This window comes from Homo sapiens, chromosome 17 (assembly GCF_000001405.40).
Source record: "Homo sapiens chromosome 17, GRCh38.p14 Primary Assembly".
NCBI classification, from domain to species: Eukaryota; Metazoa; Chordata; class Mammalia; order Primates; family Hominidae; genus Homo; species Homo sapiens.
The window spans coordinates 47,668,579-47,687,171 of record NC_000017.11 but is presented as its reverse complement, the minus strand read 5'-3'; the positions used below and the strand labels follow the sequence as shown (position 1 = coordinate 47,687,171).

General features: G+C 42.2%; 1 protein-coding gene across 2 annotated transcripts in view; it reads right to left on the bottom strand.

Moving 5' to 3' along the window:
• Nucleotides 1-1,666: 1,666 nt before the first annotated feature.
• KPNB1 (karyopherin subunit beta 1) overlaps nt 1,667-18,593 on the bottom strand; it is a 35,587-nt gene continuing 18,660 nt past the window's right edge. For both annotated transcript variants that reach the window (NM_002265.6, NM_001276453.2), the window contains 12 exons: nt 17,303-17,494; nt 16,340-16,470; nt 14,007-14,154; nt 13,611-13,682; nt 12,390-12,534; nt 10,681-10,763; nt 10,045-10,152; nt 8,983-9,126; nt 8,759-8,864; nt 7,038-7,152; nt 6,503-6,664; nt 1,667-4,768 (listed from right to left, as the gene is read on the bottom strand). In NM_002265.6, the coding sequence (NP_002256.2) occupies nt 4,768; nt 6,503-6,664; nt 7,038-7,152; nt 8,759-8,864; nt 8,983-9,126; nt 10,045-10,152; nt 10,681-10,763; nt 12,390-12,534; nt 13,611-13,682; nt 14,007-14,154; nt 16,340-16,470; nt 17,303-17,494 (1,407 nt within the window). In that variant the 3' untranslated portion in view covers nt 1,667-4,767. The remainder of the gene's footprint in view (nt 4,769-6,502; nt 6,665-7,037; nt 7,153-8,758; nt 8,865-8,982; nt 9,127-10,044; nt 10,153-10,680; nt 10,764-12,389; nt 12,535-13,610; nt 13,683-14,006; nt 14,155-16,339; nt 16,471-17,302; nt 17,495-18,593) is intronic.

Genomic DNA, 18,593 nt, shown 5'->3' with positions numbered 1-18,593 from the left:
TCTGTGAACTCTACTATGTCATTAGTTCAACAAATATTTATCGAAGGTCTACTATATGTCAGGCGCTCTCTCAGCTGAGCATACTAAAAGACAGTCAAGGTCACTGCATTAGGGAACTTACGTTATAGCGGGGAAAACTGGCAACAGATAAACAACGAAATTAAAATATACTTTTAGATAGTGCTGGGAAGGAAATGGATGGCATATCCTAAGTATGTGCAATATGGACCTTTGTTTTTTTATTACTAAGAGGCTCATAGCATCTGTCCAGGGCAAATGTGTAAAGCCTTGATTTGACAGACCGGGCTCCGAATTCTGGCTCTAAGTGACCTTGGTGTGATGAGTCAATCTTTCTGCCCTTCCTTCCTCATCAGTAAAACAGGAATACTAAGGTTGTTCTACAAATTAAAACACAAAATCTCAGTGTTTACCATTTTTCACTTCAGGTGGGCCAAGCTGGCACCTTGGAGGCCAGGTGGAACTGCAGGCTTGCACTGTGTTTCTGAGTGTTTGTATTGGGACCAGGTATACGGTAACCGGGTTTCTTGTGGGAGCAGTTGCTCCTTCTCTGCCATTTGATGAACTAATTGCATTCTTTTCTCAAGTCTCACCTTCAGTGGAGAAATGTTCTCAGTGAATCATTGCTGTTCAGGACTTAATGCAGTCTGGTAAAAATTTACTCTCTATAACTCAGTAACCTCCAAATTGGATTTAGAAATACTAGAACTTCTATTTATCATGTAATTGCTTTTTACTTTCTATTTTTGTGTCTTATGATTACACAATATGTGGTTATAGTAGTCCAAGTATGTTATTTATAAACACATGGGGTATGCATGATCAAAAGTTTACTAACAGGGTGTACAATCAGAAAAGGGAGTCTACAGCCCTTACTTTGCTTAACTAAGAAAGGGTGTATTTCCATGAACTAGCCTGCAGGCACCACTACGCTAATAAGCAGCAGGGTTAAAGGAAAGGGCCTAGTCTCCTAAATCTCAAACTAGTGTTCTAAGTTTCTTGAGGGGGGGAAATGCAAGTAGAAATGAAATACATGATGAAAACTAAGTGAAAGGCCAACTTTTGGATGATCCATTAGACACGGAATTAGCTTGAGAAATAGGCACAAACAGAGGACAATGATTCACTGAGAACATTTCTCCACTGAAGGTGAGATTTGAGAAAAGAATGCAATTAGTTCATCAAATGGCAGAGAAGGAGCAACTGCTCCCACAAGAAACCCCATTACCGTATACCTGGTCCCAATACAAACACTCAGAAACACAGTGCAAGCCTGCAGTTCCACCTGGCCTCCAAGGTGCCAGCTTGGCCCACCTGAAGTGAAAAATGGTAAACACTGAGATTTTATGTTTTAATTTGCAGAACAACCTTAGTCAGTATTCCTGTTTTACTGATGAGGAATGCTTCAAACTCTCCAAACACGAAACATCCTCCATGCATACTTTTTCCTTACCTCATTTGTAGGACACTGTTTCATCTATATCACATTACACTATGTAATATCCATTTCAAGATGTGTGTCCCTCCTTTTCCCCACACACATACATACACAAACACCTCTCACCACACATTCTGACTTTCAAACCATTTCACCTCCATGGAGGTGACACCATTTGGGACAAAAAAAAAAAAAAAAAGCAGCAAGATGTTGAAAATAAAAATAAAGCGGACTTTATTTAGAAGATAAAGGTGGTGGTTATCGGTTTTGGTTAATCGAGTTGGGCTCAAGTGTTTTACAGGTCTTAAATGCCATCACAGACTGGCATGCCAAGGGCATTCTGAATGCCAATTACAGATTGAAGTTGTTTCAAAAACCAAGATGCTATCAAAAGCTGATGAGTTTGGATTTTTCTTAAAGTTGGACTAACACACTTCTTAAATATTTGTAAGAGTAAATAGATTGCTTGGTTCTGAAAGTTAAAACACTACACTGAGCAATTCCCCTTCTCCACAAGTCCCTAAGGCAATATTACAGTTGCCTCTGACAGCAAGTCCAACATTTCAACAAAGGGGGGGTGAGGAGAACTGGGAAAAATGAAAAGCAAAATTAATAAATGTAATTGATACAGGCAGCTGCCACTTGTGGCAAACCAAAGCCTAGTCCGATGCCCATTATCTTCACATTTGCACTGACATCTTCCCAAGCAGACGGTAACTACATTCTTGAAGGAATGTGCCAAGACTAGGGTGGGGAAGGCCCAGACAGTGAGTGAACAGAATGCATTTTGCACCCAGTTGCCTTAGGTGGTATAACTGATATAAGGACAAATACCCAGACTATGGAAAACCCACTGGCAAAAGGTTAACTAGAAAAGAGGAGAATTAAATGCATAACCAGTGCAGAGTAACTGCAAGGCACCAAGACCACATCCAACCAGCCCATTTTCCTCCTCTCCACCACTGAATGGATCTGGGAGAAAGCATTAGTAACAGCACTCATCAACTGCTTCCCTGGAACAAAACATGACAAAACACACGGAAGGTTTTTTCATTATGGTTCTCGGTGTACTTTATTCTCCTGCTGTCTAGCTAAGCAGCCCACACAGGACAGAAATGGGTAGCACTGAGGAATGATCAGATTTTTTTTCTATCCCCAATATTTCTGCCCCCTCCCTAAGCCCTGACCCAACCCTATCTTAATAATCACGAATGGTTAGTACATCATTCTGTCTCTCAAAGAACAACTGAAATGGAAACAAGGCATTAGAGGACCAGGCCTCTTCTTAATAGGGCTTAGGAGCTGGTATGAGCTCTTTATTCACAATGGAGCGTCTCTCCTTCAAATACCTGGATTTTTTTTTTTTTGTACACTGGTTCATAGATCGGCACTTGACTTTGAACCTGGCACCAAAAGGCACAATATCTGATACCCTGTACAAGAGCTATTAGAGATGCTGCCATATGGATGGGCAAAACTGAGCCAATCCCACTTAGGAATGGAAGGCTTGGACATGGAAGGGAGGATATAAACGAGGAGTTGGAGAAAAACGCAAGCCCAGTTTTTGCTAGAGTGGAAATGAAAGTGGGAATGAGGGTCTTGTTTTTAGTCCTCTAAGGACCAGGAAGCAATTTTAAAACTTCCTTGGTTTTTCTGAAAGCAGCATATTCAAAATGCCAGCAAAAACTCCTAACAACTGCAAAACCAAAAGAGGATCAAAGCTCACCAACATCCCTTCTTATTGCTGAAAGGCTCTAAAATTCAGGATGCCCTGTTCCCTTGTAAAAGGGAAAATAATTAAGTCTGATTTATGGTAATCATACCACATCACACTTCTAAAAAAATATTCAAGTGTGTGACCAGGGGACGTTTGACACCATTTTATTAACCTTCAACTTCAGTGGAAAAATAAAACCTTTTCCAAGTGCCATTTTCATCACAAGACTTCTAGTTAGTGTGTGTGTGTATTCACACAACACACACTTTTTTTTGTTTTTGTTTTGTTGGTTGCTTTTGAAGTGCAGCAAGAGACCAATACCGCATTGTAGTCAATCAAATAAAAGAACAGAAGGCCAAGCAGTTTCCAAATGGTTATTTTATCAGATTGTTTGAACATTTAATTTATCCTGTTTGCAATCCAAAATAGTTACCTGAAGTTTGCTGTTTTGTGTGTATGTGTTTACTTTTATTGTATATTTATTTTTCTAAACTCTTTGGCACAATTTTCTGGGGGCGTTCAGACTGCCACAATACAAGTCAGGAGAGGGCGTTTTCTTTGTGCTGCCAATTCTGATCATTTAAATTTTGGTTTGTTTGGGTTGTGATTTTTTTGTTTTTGAAGTCTGCGTTATTTGTAACAATTGTACTTATATTTTTCTATATCCTCTAACGCCAGAGTTTTCTTTTTCTCCCCCCTCCCCCCCACTTCTACATTCACAGTTGAACCATATTATTAGGAAAGGCGCCTTGATGAAAAGATCAGGATAGGAGCTCTGACCATTCGTCAGTGTTTTCCCTAGAGTAAAAAAAACAAAAAACAAAACCAAAAAAAAAAAACAAAACAAAACCTAAAGAGCGTCTTTCCTCTGTGTGTGTGTTTTTTTTTTTTTTTTTTTTTTTTTTTTTACATCTCTTGTGCTGCATCAGTAAACAAAACTTCGGTTAGTTTTATGAAATGCAACATCTAACCCCTTGTTTTCTGGGAAAAAGAAACTGCAATGACTTGAAGTTGAGAATGTGGATACCGCCTCACTCACACACACTCATTCTCAGACTGTAAAAAATCCCTGACCCTCCTTCTAGCTGGCAAGCATACAGTACCATGTGGCAAAGGTACAGCGAAGGTGGGCTTGAGACCCAGGCTCCATCTTTCTCCTCAGTAGCAAAGGCCAGGCTGCCTTTTACAACAAAGCACCACAGCTGAACCCAGTCCCTCCTCCTCCCCCAAACCAGGCATTCCACTCGGCACTGGCCAAAAGACAGAAAAGCTACTTCTAGCCTCTCCTGGGAAGAGATAACTTTCTTTCTTTTTTTTTAAATAAGTAACTCCATTGTTTTTCTCTTTTCCAAGATGGCCGATGTTATGGTTTTCTACGAAGTCAGTGCTTACTTAGCTCACTAACAGCGCTGCTGTTGGCGGCTGCGGCTGCTGCTGTGGCAGGATTTTCAATGTGGTGTGTTTTCAAGCCTCACTCACTCATCCTCTCATTCCCAAACATTCAGCATCCGTGCACACTCCTCACTTCCAGGTTTTTCAAAAGATGGGAGATTTCCAGTGGGGGTCCTCAGGTTATCATCCCAATGGTAACAGATCTGAAAACAGATGGAAAAAAAGGTCAATCTTTGAGATCACATATACCCAACAGAGCCAATAATGCTGACTCCTACAATTACATGCTCCTAGGCCTGAATGGAATTTGTCAACATTTCAAGGATTGACACTCTTTCTTCTTGTCCTATGTGCCATTGACCTGCTCTTATTAACACCTACATCAGAGGGTGCGAGGGAAACTCAAAGAGCCAATTTTACTGAGATCTGTGGAGTAAGATAACTAATTAAGAGTGAAAGAAATTAAAACTGTATTTCAGTCTGGGTGCAGTGGCTCAAGCCTTTAATCTCAGCACTTTGGGAGGCCAAGGAGGGAGAACTTCTTGAGGTCAGGAGTTCAAACCCAGCCTGGGCAACAGGAGATCTTGTCTCTAAAAATAAAAAAAAATTAGCCAGTCATGGAGGTGCTTGCCTGCAGTCCCAACCACCTGGGAGGCTGAGGCAGGAGGGCCACTTAAGCCCAGGAGCTGGAGGCTTCTATGAGGTGTGATTGTACCACTGCACTCCAGCCTGGGTGACAGAGGAGACTCTGTCTCCAAACAAACAAGATTGCATTTCAAAGTAGGAGCCAAGGCCTGGTGTGGTGGTGCACACCTGGGAGACCGACAAAGGTGGATCACCTGAGGTCAGGACCAGTCTGGCCAACATGGTGAAAACCCATCTCTACTAAAAATACAAAAAAAAAAAAAAAAAAAAAAAAACCTATAATTCCAGCAATTTAGGAGGCTGAGGTGGGTGGATCACCTAAAATCAGGAGTTCAAGACCAGCCTGGCAAACATGGTGAAACCCCATCTTTACTAAAAATACAAAAACTGGGCCAGGCATGGTAGCTTACGCCTGTAATCCCAGTACTTTGGGAGGCCGAGGTGGGTGGATCACGAGGTCAGGAGGTCAAGACCAGCCTGGCCAAGATGGTGAAATCCTGTTTCTACTAAAAATACAAAAAAATTAGCCAGGTGTGGTGGTGGTAGGGCACCTGTAATCCTAGCTACTCAGGAGGCTGAGGCAGAGAACTGCTTGAACCCGGGAGGCAGAGGTTGCAATAAGCTGAGATCGCACCACTGCACTCCAGCCTGGGCGACAGAGCGAGACTGTCTCCAAAAGAAAAAAAAAAAAAAAAAGAAGAAGAAAAGAAAAGAAAAAAAGAAAATTAGTCGGGTGTGGTGGCATGTGACTGTAATCCCAGCTACTCGGGAGGCTGAGACAGGAGAATTGCTCAAACCCAGGAGGCAGCAGTTGCAGTGAACCGAGATTGTGCCATTGCACTCCAGCCTGGGCGACAGTGAGACTCTGTCTCAAAAAGAAAACACACACACACACACACACACACAAAAAAACATTTGACTTTGGAAATCTTCTCTAGAGCTAGGCAACGTCTAAAAGCACTGCTGTAAAGAAAGAATAGGGCATGAGGAAAGGAATAGAAAACAGAAGAGAATTAGGGGGAAATGGCATTACTGATGATTTTATTAGGACCCAAAATACTCAGGGAATTTCAGTGAATTCCAGTTTTAAAAGTTCTGCTCTCCATCACTATGAGGAGTCAAACATTTGGCTCAAGGAAAAACTGAGGCTGCCTGACTCAGAAGCACCTACATGGGAAAAAGTACAAACAAAAAAAATGCCAGAAGGCAGTGCTTGCCAGAATGGCCTAAAGAAAACATACCCCCCTCCTCCAGGAAGTAGAAGAAAGAGGACAGTGGAGGCAAGATCTTACCAAGCTTGGTTCTTCAGTTTCCTCAGTTCTTTTGTTGCCCATGTAGCAAGGGTTTTTGCTTTGTTAGTCTTCGATCTCCGCCCTTCAGTTAACAATTCATGGATCATTGGCCTAGCTTCTACTAATTTCAGTACATCCTTCCCAAATGCTGTACATAAGTCCCTGTGCAAAACAAACACAGCTGAGAATGAGCTCCTAGCCCCATACCAGTATAATGTTTTGAGCCTTCCAAACCAGTGCTATGGGTTTCTTAGCAAATTTCAAAGATAAATAAAACCCTCAGTAGAGGTCACTAGACAGAGGCAATTGTTGACCAACATCAGAGTTTAATGGGGTGTAATACAGACACCTTGAGGGTCTGGAATAAACTATCATGTGAACACTCAAAACAGGACATGAAGCGTTCTGCAAAGAAATCTCTGTGCCAAAAAAGTGAACTGTTGCCATCCGCGATACTCTCAAAACTCCTTACTCCATGTTTTCTCATTTTCTGTGAGAAGTTCTATTCAGCTCTTAGAAGCAGGGTATAACTTACCCTATTAGTCCAGCAGCACAAGCTACTACTCCATCTGTGTGATCCTCATCTCCAGCAATGTGGTCAATGAAAGACAGAATAAATTCTACTCTGGGTTGTACCAGCATCACATCCGCTATAAAAGAGAGAGAAGGTATTGGTCGGGTGCGGTGGCTCATGCCTGTAAACCCAGCACTTTAGGAGGCCCAGGCGGGTGGATCACAAGGTCAGAAGATCGAGACCATCCTGGCTAACTCGGTGAAACCCCGTCTCTACTAAAAATACAAAAAAATTAGCCGGGCGTGGTGGCGGGCGCCTGTAGTCCCAGCTACTCAGGAGGCTGAGGTAGGAAAATGGCGTGAACCCAGGAGGCGGAGCTTGCAGTGAGCCGAGATTGCGCCACTGCGCTCCAGCCTAGGCGACAGAGCAAGATTCCATCTCAAAAAAAAAAGAAAAAAAAAAGAGAGAGAAGGTCTGATGCAGCTGTCCCTCATATGGCAGGACTACATCCTTTTTCAAAATTTCCAACTATTATACCCCTATCATACAAGGTCCAAGCTGGATAACTAGATGCATATAGTTATATCAAATTATTCTTCCTTTGATTAATGTGTCGTTCCTCAAGTCGACAGAAGAGACAAATATTCCTCTTCCTATAGGCAAATATAGAAGAAACAAATTTAACTTTTTCCTGAGCTAATGATACCAAGGGGGGTGAAGTAAAAAATTTCCCCAATCAGCAACAAGAACACGTAACGGGAATTATGACTCCCCAGTCCTCCAATTTAGCTTGTGGGGATGGGAAAGGGGTAGGGGACCTGCCACTCATGGTTGATACAGGAAGCATTTATGTTGGGTTTCTTCCCCCCAACATTTTTGCTGAATCCCATCCCTTGTAATACTCAAGAAATATGAGAAAAAGAAGCAGAGGGCTGGGTGCAGTGGCTCACGCCTGAAATCCCATCACTTTGGGAGCCCAAGGTGGGAGATTGCCTGAGCTCAGGAGTTCGAGAGCAGCCTGCAAAACATGGTGAAATCCCATCTCTACTAAAATACAAAAAAAAAAAAAATAGCTGGGCATGGTGGTGTGTGCCTGTAGTCCCAGCTACTCAGGAAGCTGAGGCATAAGAATCACTTGAACCCAGGAAGTGAAGACTGCAGTGAGCTGTGATCGCTCCACTGCACTCCAGCTTGGGTGAGAGTGAGACTGTCTCCAAAAAATAAAAATAAAATAAAATAAATTTAAAAGGCTGGGCACAGTGGCTCAAGCCTGTAATCCCAGCACTTTGGGAGACCAAGGCGGGTGGATCAATTGAGATCAGGAGTTCAAGACCAGCCTGACCAACAAGGTGAAAGCTTGCCTCTACTAAAAATATAAAAATTAGCCAGGCATAGTGGCAGATGTGTATAGTTCCAGCTACTCAGGAGGCTGAGGCAGGAGAACTGCTTGAACCTGGGAGGTGGAGGTTGCAGTGAGCCGAGATTGCACGACTGCACTCCAGCCTGGGCAACAGAGTGAGACTCCGTCTCAAAACAAAAAAAAGAAAGAAGAAGCAGAGCAAAAACAGTAGTCTACAGTTTTCCCCAAGCCACTCTCTTCATTAGGGCACTGCTCCCCCTTCTCCCAGCCTTTTAAGCAACAGGCACTAGGTTCACAAGCGAGCTACAGAATGACAGACATAGCCCACTTGGCTAAGTGCACATTGGCGAGCGGACGAAGGGAACTGGGTTGTATACTCAACGGTGTACGTTCTCCTGATCCCCCTTTAATCCCTGGACGATTCCAGTATAGGCTTCCAAGCAGCTTTCCCTTAGCTCATTCAGATAATCCACCATGTCATAGTCTGACTGTAAGACACAAAGAACAGAACCTACATCACACTGATCACTTTTAGCTGCATGTTTGTCAATAGTCCCTCCAATTAGAGCTAGACTTAAAGAACAGCCAAGATAGCTTTAAGCTTACCTTGTCCACCTGGGCTTGGGAGGCCTGCTGAAGAGTATTCAATACAACCTCTAAGTATTTTTTAAACTCTCCTCCAATAGCAAGGGCAATATCACCAAACACTGACAGAATCTGCGGCTTCACAGACCTGTGGACGTTCTCATTCTGACAAGGAACAAAAGGAAAAGTGAATTAAGTCAAAACTTGTTTGGTCCAAAGATTCATGAAAATTTCATTTCTAACAAGCAACTATTGATTTTAAATATTTGGATGGTCCTTTATAGCTTACAAAACCTTTCCCATTTGCACCTCACACCAACTCTAAGAAGCTAGCCCAGGTATTGGTATTCCCACTTTACACATGAGGAGACTGACTTAAGAATCAAGTGACTTGTCTGAGAACACACATGTACAATAATTAATGATGGCTATCTCTGGAGAGAGGTATAATATACAAATGGTCCCCTGCTCATGATGGTTTGATGATTTCTCCACTTTACAATGTGTTTATTGGGACCTAACTCCATCATAAGTCAAGGAACAACTGTATTTACTTTTCCTTTGCATTTTACTGTTTTGTTTTAAAAATCTCTAATAGAGCACACATTCCTTTAACTTTACAATCTTTCTTCAGAGTCATCTGTGAAATGAACAACTCCCCTCTTTATAAGCCCAAAGCCAATGTTCTAGAAACTTACAGCTCCCTGTCACTGATTTTTTTTTTTTTTTTTTTTTTTTGAGACGGAGTTTGGCTCTTCTTGCCCAGGCTGGAGTGCAATGGCGTGATCTTGGCTCACTGCAACGTCCACCTCCCGGGTACAAGCGATTATCCTGCCTCAGCCTTCCGAGTAGCTGGGATTACAAGCGCCTGCCATCACGCCCGGCTAATTTTTTTTGTATCTACAGTACAGACGGGGTTTCACCATGTTGTCCAGGTTGGTCTCGAACTCCTGGCCTGCCTCGGCCTCCCAAAATGCTGGGATTACAGGCCACTGCGCCCAGCCTGGTCGATATTTAACTATCTTTCCAACTGTTGTTTTCTTCAAAGAAGACTGGTTAATTAGATTGTGTGTAGATACTCACCCCCAAATTTTCCAGAAGCAGCTGCATCACCTCGTCACAGAAAGGTATGATGTTGGATTGCAGGGCACGGCACAAGTCTCCCACTAAGCCCACAGCTGCCAAACAAACCTGCCAAGAATCAAGGAAATAATCTTCTAACAGAAAAGGCTGCCTGCTGGGGCAAGATATTATTTTTAACTAGCTGCTGAGCTTTTATCACTTGAACCTAGAGTTAAATCCCTCTGCCGAGATTAATTTTTCAACAACCAACATGGCAGGCAGGGAACAAAGACTATCCGAGAGAGATCACTGATAAAGTTAAAAAAAAAAAAAAAAAAAAAGCCTTGCTCTCCAGGGTGCTAATAGCTCAACTTTATAGCTGCTCCTGCATTAGTACTGTCTAAGCAAATAAACAGTCATCTTGTCCACCATTATCTGTTACATCTAATATCTTGTCCACCGTTATCTGGTACATCTAATATCCTGTTTTTCATGGACTACTTCCAGTTCAAACGTTCAGGCAATGAATAAAGTAGCTTGCCTTTTAGGACAATGTATCAGGAAAAACTACTTAAGCTATAAGAACCTGGTTTTGCGTGCACTACAGTGACTGTCAGATATAAATGGGAACATACTATTTTGAAAAGCACATCCTACCTGGTATTCAGCATAATTTTTTAATCCAATGCCCAGGAAGGGTTTAAAGGCCTCCATGTACTTGAGGAATTCACCACCCAACACTGTAATGAAATAAGCTATTAGCCAATGACAGCACCACGGGTTAACACAGAGGCAGGCAGAAATAACCCATCCTACCTCTCCCAAAATGTACTCGCTCCACTCAACAGGTTGGGTGAAATGTGCTTTAGTTACCGATTCCATCATGAAGACATTAAAGGCTTGCATAAGCCAAATTTATTACTGCTGGAAGGGCCCTAATTCATACGCCACAGAGACAATGCCCACTGTCCACAGAATAGGGCTTTACTCTGACTAATACAACCAAGTGGTATGACCCTCAAGGAATGTCAAGGTTAATTTTAAATGGGCTGAACCAGCAATACTGACTCTTGTCCACCTCCTCATCTGATAATAGCATGTCCTTTCTGCAAGCCAGCTTCAAAACAGGGTCCTTAGGCAATTCCATCAAGGGCTAAACAAGCCACAGCCAGGAAAAGCAGCACTGGGCTTCAGATCCAAATCAGCCACTCCAGGAGCCAAAATTAACTTCTTTGCCCTTTCAGAGGAGTGGTCACATGTTGACAGACCAGTTGGACATAGGCTGTTTATGCCAAAAATAGGTCTAGTCCTCAGGAGAGTGGTCCTCAGGTAAATGGCCTTAGCAATGTACTTACAGGCCACCCCTGAAAAGGCATATCAGATTCCTAAAGTGCTTCGTAATGCCCCTTCAAAGAGTCTTAAGTCAGATATGGCTTCCCCAAACCAATTTTGCAGTCAGACATGTAAAAATCAGAAAATCAATTCCTAGAACTCGCTCAATGTTTCATTTCATCCCATACCAGGCACCATGATGTGTCAATCTTAGTCCAAAGCACTACAAACCAAACCAGGTGATGACAAGTACCAGGAAAGAAAATAGAAACTTTTAGCAGGGCACAGTGGCTCATGCCTATAATCCCAGCTACTCAGAAGGCTGAGGCAGGAGAATTGCTTGAACCTGGGAGGTGGAGGCTGTGGTGAGCCAAGATGGTGCCACTGCACTCCATCCTGGGCAACAGAACAAGTCTCAAAAAAAAAACAAACAAAAAAAAAAAACAAAAAAAAAACAACACCTCTGCCAATCTCCGTTGCAAACTGGCTCCCCATTTAAATGGACTGACAAGGCAGTTATACAAATTTAAGTGGTGTGCACTTAAGTTCAATCTAACTTTGAAGTGACTCATGCCCCAGTAAAAGGACTATGCTTTCTATAGTCAAAAATTCTTTAATGCTCTGACAAGGAGGCCCAGGAGTTTGAGACCAGCCTGAGCAATATAGTGAGACCCTATCTTCACACACAAACAAAATTAAGCTGGGCCCAGTGGCTCACATCTATAATCCTAGCACTCTGGGAGGCTGAGGCAGGAGGATCACTTGACTCAGGAGTTCAAGACCAGTCTGGGCAACATGGCGAAACTCCATCTCTACCAAAAATATAAAAATTAGCTGGGCATGGTGGTGTGCATCTGTTAGTCCCAGCTACTGTGGGGGCACTGAAGTGGAAGGATCATGTGAGCCCACGATTTCAAGGCTGCAGTGCGCCAAGATCGTGCCACTGCACTCCAGCCTGGGTGACAATTATTTAAGGCCACTGAAATGCCTACATTCCAAAGACATTCCCTGACCAGACAGTATTTCTCACCGACCTTCCACCAGTGTGCTAACTGCCATCAGGGCATCCTCTTGTACTCCCCCAGACCCAGCTGTGCTTTGGAACATCCTTAACAGGGAGGCCATAACCACATCAGAGATCTGCAAAGCATCTTGATGTTGCACTTTCCGAAGAACATTCTGTGAAATGAGTAAGAGTTCAAGATCAGTTGATTCCAAATCTCCCAATCAGAACACTATACCTTTTCTTTTTAAAATCAATTAAGTCCCTTGATATTTTTTAATTTTGGGAATGCCAAATGTATTTTATACACAAAAACATTGACAGTACCAATCATCAGCAATACATTTTAACATTTCTCCTGTTTCTCAATTCAGAACAAACGTGAGCTGATCCTCCGTTGTGCAGAAGGTCATGTCCTCTCAATTTCATTTGTCTTACTGTCTGACAAATCCCTGCTGGTAGCCGCCATAGTCCAGTCTTACTGGAATGATAGTTAAATTACTTCAGCTTTAGAGAAGGCCCTATCACCTTAGAGCTCTTATTCATAAAACAAACAAAAAGCAACCCTTCCTATATCCTACCTATTTACAGATGACCTAGAAATAAACTTGATAAAATCAAACCAACCTGACTTCTCCCATCAAACATTCCTTCCTCACTCGTTTGTTTCAACTAATGTCACTGACATTAGGTCAAACAGCAAATGTTTCAAAAGATGACGGTACAAATTCAAGGCTTTATTTTTAGCCAAGTGAACTATAGCTGGGAACCAAATCTGACTGAGCTAGGCTTGAATAACCTAATGAAAAACCAAGAGTTTTTTGGTTTTCAAAATAAAAAAACCAAAACCATTCAAGCTGCCAACACAAATGAGCTATACATCTGGAAGGAACCATCACACATTAAGTAGTTTCCTTCTCTACACAGTGACATTAGTTGAAACAAACGAGTGAGGAAGAGAGGTCTGAGGAGTGTATGTTGAATTAGGAGAAGTCAAGTTGGTTTGATTTTATCAAGATTACATCTAGACCATCTGTAAATAAGTAGGATTTGAATCTTTCTAGACAGACAGGTAAGGCAGGTGGGGAATTCCTCTCCCAATCAACCAATCACAGACCAAAGCCTTCTGAGAACAGCTTCTGATCCGCATCATCTATACCATTTTCGAGTTCTGTGTGTACACGAACTTGTTATACTGAGATACTAATAATTCTCCAACCTGGAGTTATTAAGTCATAAGGCACCACCATACCTGAAGAGTTGCACAGAGTAAAGACTGAAGGTCATTGAACTGGATTCTATCGGATGTGCTCTGGATATGTGACTACAAAGAAAATAAGAAAACATACTCTACATGAAAACCTTCCACTTTTGCTGGGACCATTTAATAATCTTCCCTAATACTAACATAGGAAAGTAAACAACAGCAACAAAAAACCCATAATACATATAGTGTAACACATATATGAGTAAACCATGACAAACAATGCTAACGTTAAGGTGCAATGTTTTTTGTATAAGCTTTATTATCTTTCTGAGAAAATATATACTTAAACACTAAAAAGACAGAACAGTCTGGAAAACAGACCTAGGTGTCAAAAGTACTACCCAATTCCCACCCATAGTCAGGGGCACTCTTAGGTCTCACCTCCATCTGAAGAACCTGTTGCAGTCGTTCCATGATGACCAAAGTCGTTTTCTGGACAGCAGGATAACAATCCTTGGCACTGTTTTTCACAATTTCCATCAGAGATTCATATGCAGAACTCCTCAGGTTGTTCTGGTGTCCATCAGGTCTGTAAAGAACACAGCGAAAATCTTAAAGCCTCAAATGAAAAGGACAGGGAAGAACATAGACAATGTCTTGCCAAAAATAAGAACTCAGGAACCGGTATGTCTGCAGACCTGGTTTGAGTTTGAAAACACAATATCCAAGAATGAAATCTTCAAGTCCTTTGAGCCAATGGCTATGTTCATTATGGTCTCCAGACAGTTAAAATTTAGAATGGCCCTTTTGGAAATGGGCTAAAATTATAGAGGAAAAAATGGTTTGAAATGGTAAAAAATCATGTGAACAATTTAACAGGTTGTCTGAAGTGCTATGAAGAAAATACCCCAATTTTCCTGGCTAGACGTGATGGCTCATGCCTATAATCCCAGCAATTTAGGAGGCTGAGGCAGGCGGATCACTTGAGGTCAGTTTGAGACCAGCCTGGTCAACATGGTGAAACCCCACCTCTACTAAAAATATAAAAATTAGCCAGGTGTAGTGGCTTGTGCCTGTAATCCTAGCTACTCAGGAGGCTGAGGCACGAGAATTCCTTGAACCTGGGAGGTGGAGGTTGCAGTGGGCCGAGACCGCACTCCAGCCTGAGCAACAAGACCGAAACTCCGTCCCAGAAAAAAAAAAATACCCCAATTTTCTTCATTCATTTAAAAAAGATGTCTTCATATATAATCTCAAAGAGGCATGGACATGAACTAGTTAAATGGAAGATTTTTTTTTTGATGGGCACAGTGGCTCAGGCCTACAATCCCAGCACTTTGGGAGGCCAAGGTGGGCAGATCACCTGAGGTGTCAGGAGTTTGTGACCAGCCTGGCCAACATGGCGAAACCCCATCTCTACTAAAAATACAAAAATTAGCCAGGCATGTTGGTGGGCACCTTTAGTACCAGCTACTCGGGAGGCTGAAGTACGAGAATCACTTGAACCCAGGAGGTTGCAGTGAGCCAAGATTGCACAATTGCACTCTAGCCTGGGTGACAAGAGAAGACTGTCTCAAAAAAAAAAAAAAGGAAGATTTTGTGCTCAGCTCTCTTCCTGAAGGTTTACTTTGCTCATGACTTTAGGTATAGCTCATACAAAACATAAATTGTTAAAGGTTGTCTCCAACTTATAATCCCTTTAAACAACATTTCAAAAGCTTGTTTCTAAGTCAACTGTATTTACCCCAAGTTCTTCATCCTATATAAAAATATGGTAGTTGGCCGGGCATGGTGGCTCATGCCTGTAATCCTGGCACTTTGGGGGGCGAAGGCAGGTGGATCACGAGGGTCAGGAGATCGAGACCATCCTGTCCAACATGGTGAAACCCTGTCTCTACTAAAAATACAAAAATTAGCCAGGCATGGTGGCATGCACCTGTAGTCCCAGCTACCCAGGAGGCTGAGGCAGGAGAATCGCTTGAGGAGGTTGCAGTGAGCTGAGATTGCGCCACTGCACTCCAGCCTGGGCAACAGAGCAACACTCTGTCTCAAAATAAATTAATTAATTAATTAATAAAATAAAATAAAAATGGTAGTTATTGATTTGGTGTGGCAATCAAATTCATAATGAGTACTATCATTTCTCTTGTAACCAAATACTCCTGTTAACTGTCAATGCTGCAAAATGAAGGAACCTCTCTAGATCTATTACTCTCTACAAAGAAAGCAGAGAAATTACACTATATTCAGATTTCAGCTGTAAACTGAACAATTCTAAGGTAGGTGGAATCTGCATTTCTTTCTCCATCTTTAAACAAACCAATCAATCAATCATGGAATTCTTTTTTTTGAGACGAGTTCCACTCTTGTTGTCCAGGCTGGAGTGCAATGGCGCAGTCTCAGCTCACTGCAACCTCCATCTCCCAGGTTCAAGCAATTCCCCTGCCTCAGCCTCCCAAGTAGCTAGGACTACAGGCATGCGCCAGCACGCCCGGCTAATTTTTTGTATTTTTAGTAGAGACAGGGTTTCACCATGTTGGCCAGACTGCTTTCGAACTCCTGACCTCAGGTGATCCAGCCGCCTTGGCCTCCCAAAGTGCTGGGAATATAGGCGTGAGCCACCGCGCCCAGCGGGTTTCTTTTAATTCCTCTAGAGAAGGTAGAGTCTTGTCCTGTCTCATTATGCTTCTATGATTAAGCTAGATATCCTCCACACAGAAGGCAATAGAACTTGGATGCAAAGACGTCACTCATTTCTGTGAAATATCAGTTACCTGTCTGTAGTCTCTAGGAGCTTCTGAACTATGAGTTCAAATGAAGAAGATAAGCAGTAAGTAGCTGGTTCTTCCTGATCATCAGCAACGTCTGCAGCTTCATAAGCAGCTTCAGCCAGACTGGAGAAAGCCTGAAATGCACATAGGTTCAATGTTAATCCTGAAAGAACCCCACACCTTAGGATTATCTCATTTTTCATTAAGATACTTTGGGCCGTGTCAGTGAACTTCCAACTTTTTCTGCCAAGGTCATCTCAAGACAGCATTTTACAGGTATCTTTTAAACTAACTATTTATTTATTTGATTTGTACTTCCTGTTCATCCTGTCTGATAATCTGACAACTCTCTAAGCAGCAGAGTACTTTCACCAATACCTGCCATTTCTTCTGTTTCCAATCACAGAAATCCTGTCTGATAATCTGACATCTCTCATCATCCTGTTTGATAATCTGACAACTCTCTAAGCAGCAGAGTACTTTCAACCATACCTGCCATTTCATTTCTGTTTCCTTTCACAGAAAGACGTTTAGCCCCATTCCTTCCTTATTTGAACTTCCTCCCCTTAACCAATTACATTAGCCTATACTGACTCAGCATTTAGGCTGCCTACCTTCCTTCCCTCTTGCCCTCTACTCAGCAATGATACTTCTTACAGCCAAAAACTCTCTACCTTAATCAAAACTTCTTGTCCCCAAGCAATTCAAGAAAGCAACCCAAGTCCAGATAGTTTCCCCACTGGGTTACCATGACTGTTCTAAGTGGTTCAGGAACCAGTAACCATAAGTCAAGTGTTCCCACTGGCTCTTGCAGTTGGAATCTCCCCCACATTTTAATTGAATAAATTAGAAAGAAAATCAGAAAAAGCATTCCAGTGAGGCAGATTGATTTCTCTCCCACACCTTCTACTTTCTTGCCAGTGGCGCAGGCAAGCTCCTTTTCTCACCAGCAAGAAAATCCCTTACCCAGCACACATTTGAAGCCACTCTGGGTTCAGCACTGAGACCCTCAATCAGACACTGTAGCAGGGGAGCCAAGTAGACATCATTGATGGCAGCTTCAGGAAGCAGCTCACAAATTCTGCCTACAGTCCATGCAGCTGTATCTCGAACAACTACACTGGGGTCTTTCATTAATTCTATTAGGGTGGGCATAGCCTGAAAATATAACAGTTATTAGCAAAGCAAAACAAAGATTAAAATTCATGTTAACTACTACCCCAGAGAAAGAAATACTGATGGATGGCTTAACTCAAAAAAGTCACCAAGATACTTCTGTAATTTTACAGGACATGGTGTGAAACATCTTTCAAAATATTTGAAAATATCTTTCAAAACTCCAGTTTAGAGTTTTATATTAAGAATTTGGTGTAAATGCTTTTAGTAGTCTGCAATAAATTACTCAGATAGAGGCCGGGCATGATGATGGCTCATGCCTGTAATCCCAGCACTCTGGGAGGCTGAGGCAGGCAGATCACTTGAGGTCAGGAGTTGCTTGAGGTCAGGAGTTCAAGACCAGCCTGACCAACATGATGAAACCCGGTCTCTCTACTAAGAATACAAAAATTAGCTGGGCATGGTGGCACATAGTCCCACCTACTCAGGGGGCTGAGGCACGAGAATTGCTTAAGCTGGGGAGCTGGAGGTTGCAGTGAGCCTAGATTGCACCACTGCACTTCAGCACTCCAGCATGGGTGACAGAGTAAGACTCCATCCCCCCGCCTCCCTACCTCAAAAAAAAAAAGAATTACTCAGATACTCAGAATTCTCAGGATGCAGCTATGATGGCATCTGGCTATATCCAGAAAGACTGAAGACTGAATTCTTTAAGCACTAAACTCAACTATAACAAACTCTTTTTTTTTTTTTTGAGATAGAGTTTCGCTCGTTGCCCAGGCTGGAGTGCAATGGCACGACTTGTAATAGCAAAACAAGCACAACATTTCCATAAGAACATTTTCATTACATAAAGGACATTTTGTCCAAAGAATAGAATAATAATGCCATTATTAAAAATTATGGGGAATCAGTGCTAGGTGCAAAAAAAAATTATTGGGAAATGTTTACAACATAGTATTAAATGAAGAAACAAGTTATAAAACAATCTGCACAGGAAGAGCCTGTTGCACACACATGCACATAGGAAAAAGCTTCAAGGATAAATACAGAGTTAAGAGTGGTATTTCTGGGCAATGAAATTAAAGATGACTTTTCTCTTTTGGCTTCTTTCACATGTCTCTGGATCATGCTGACTTAT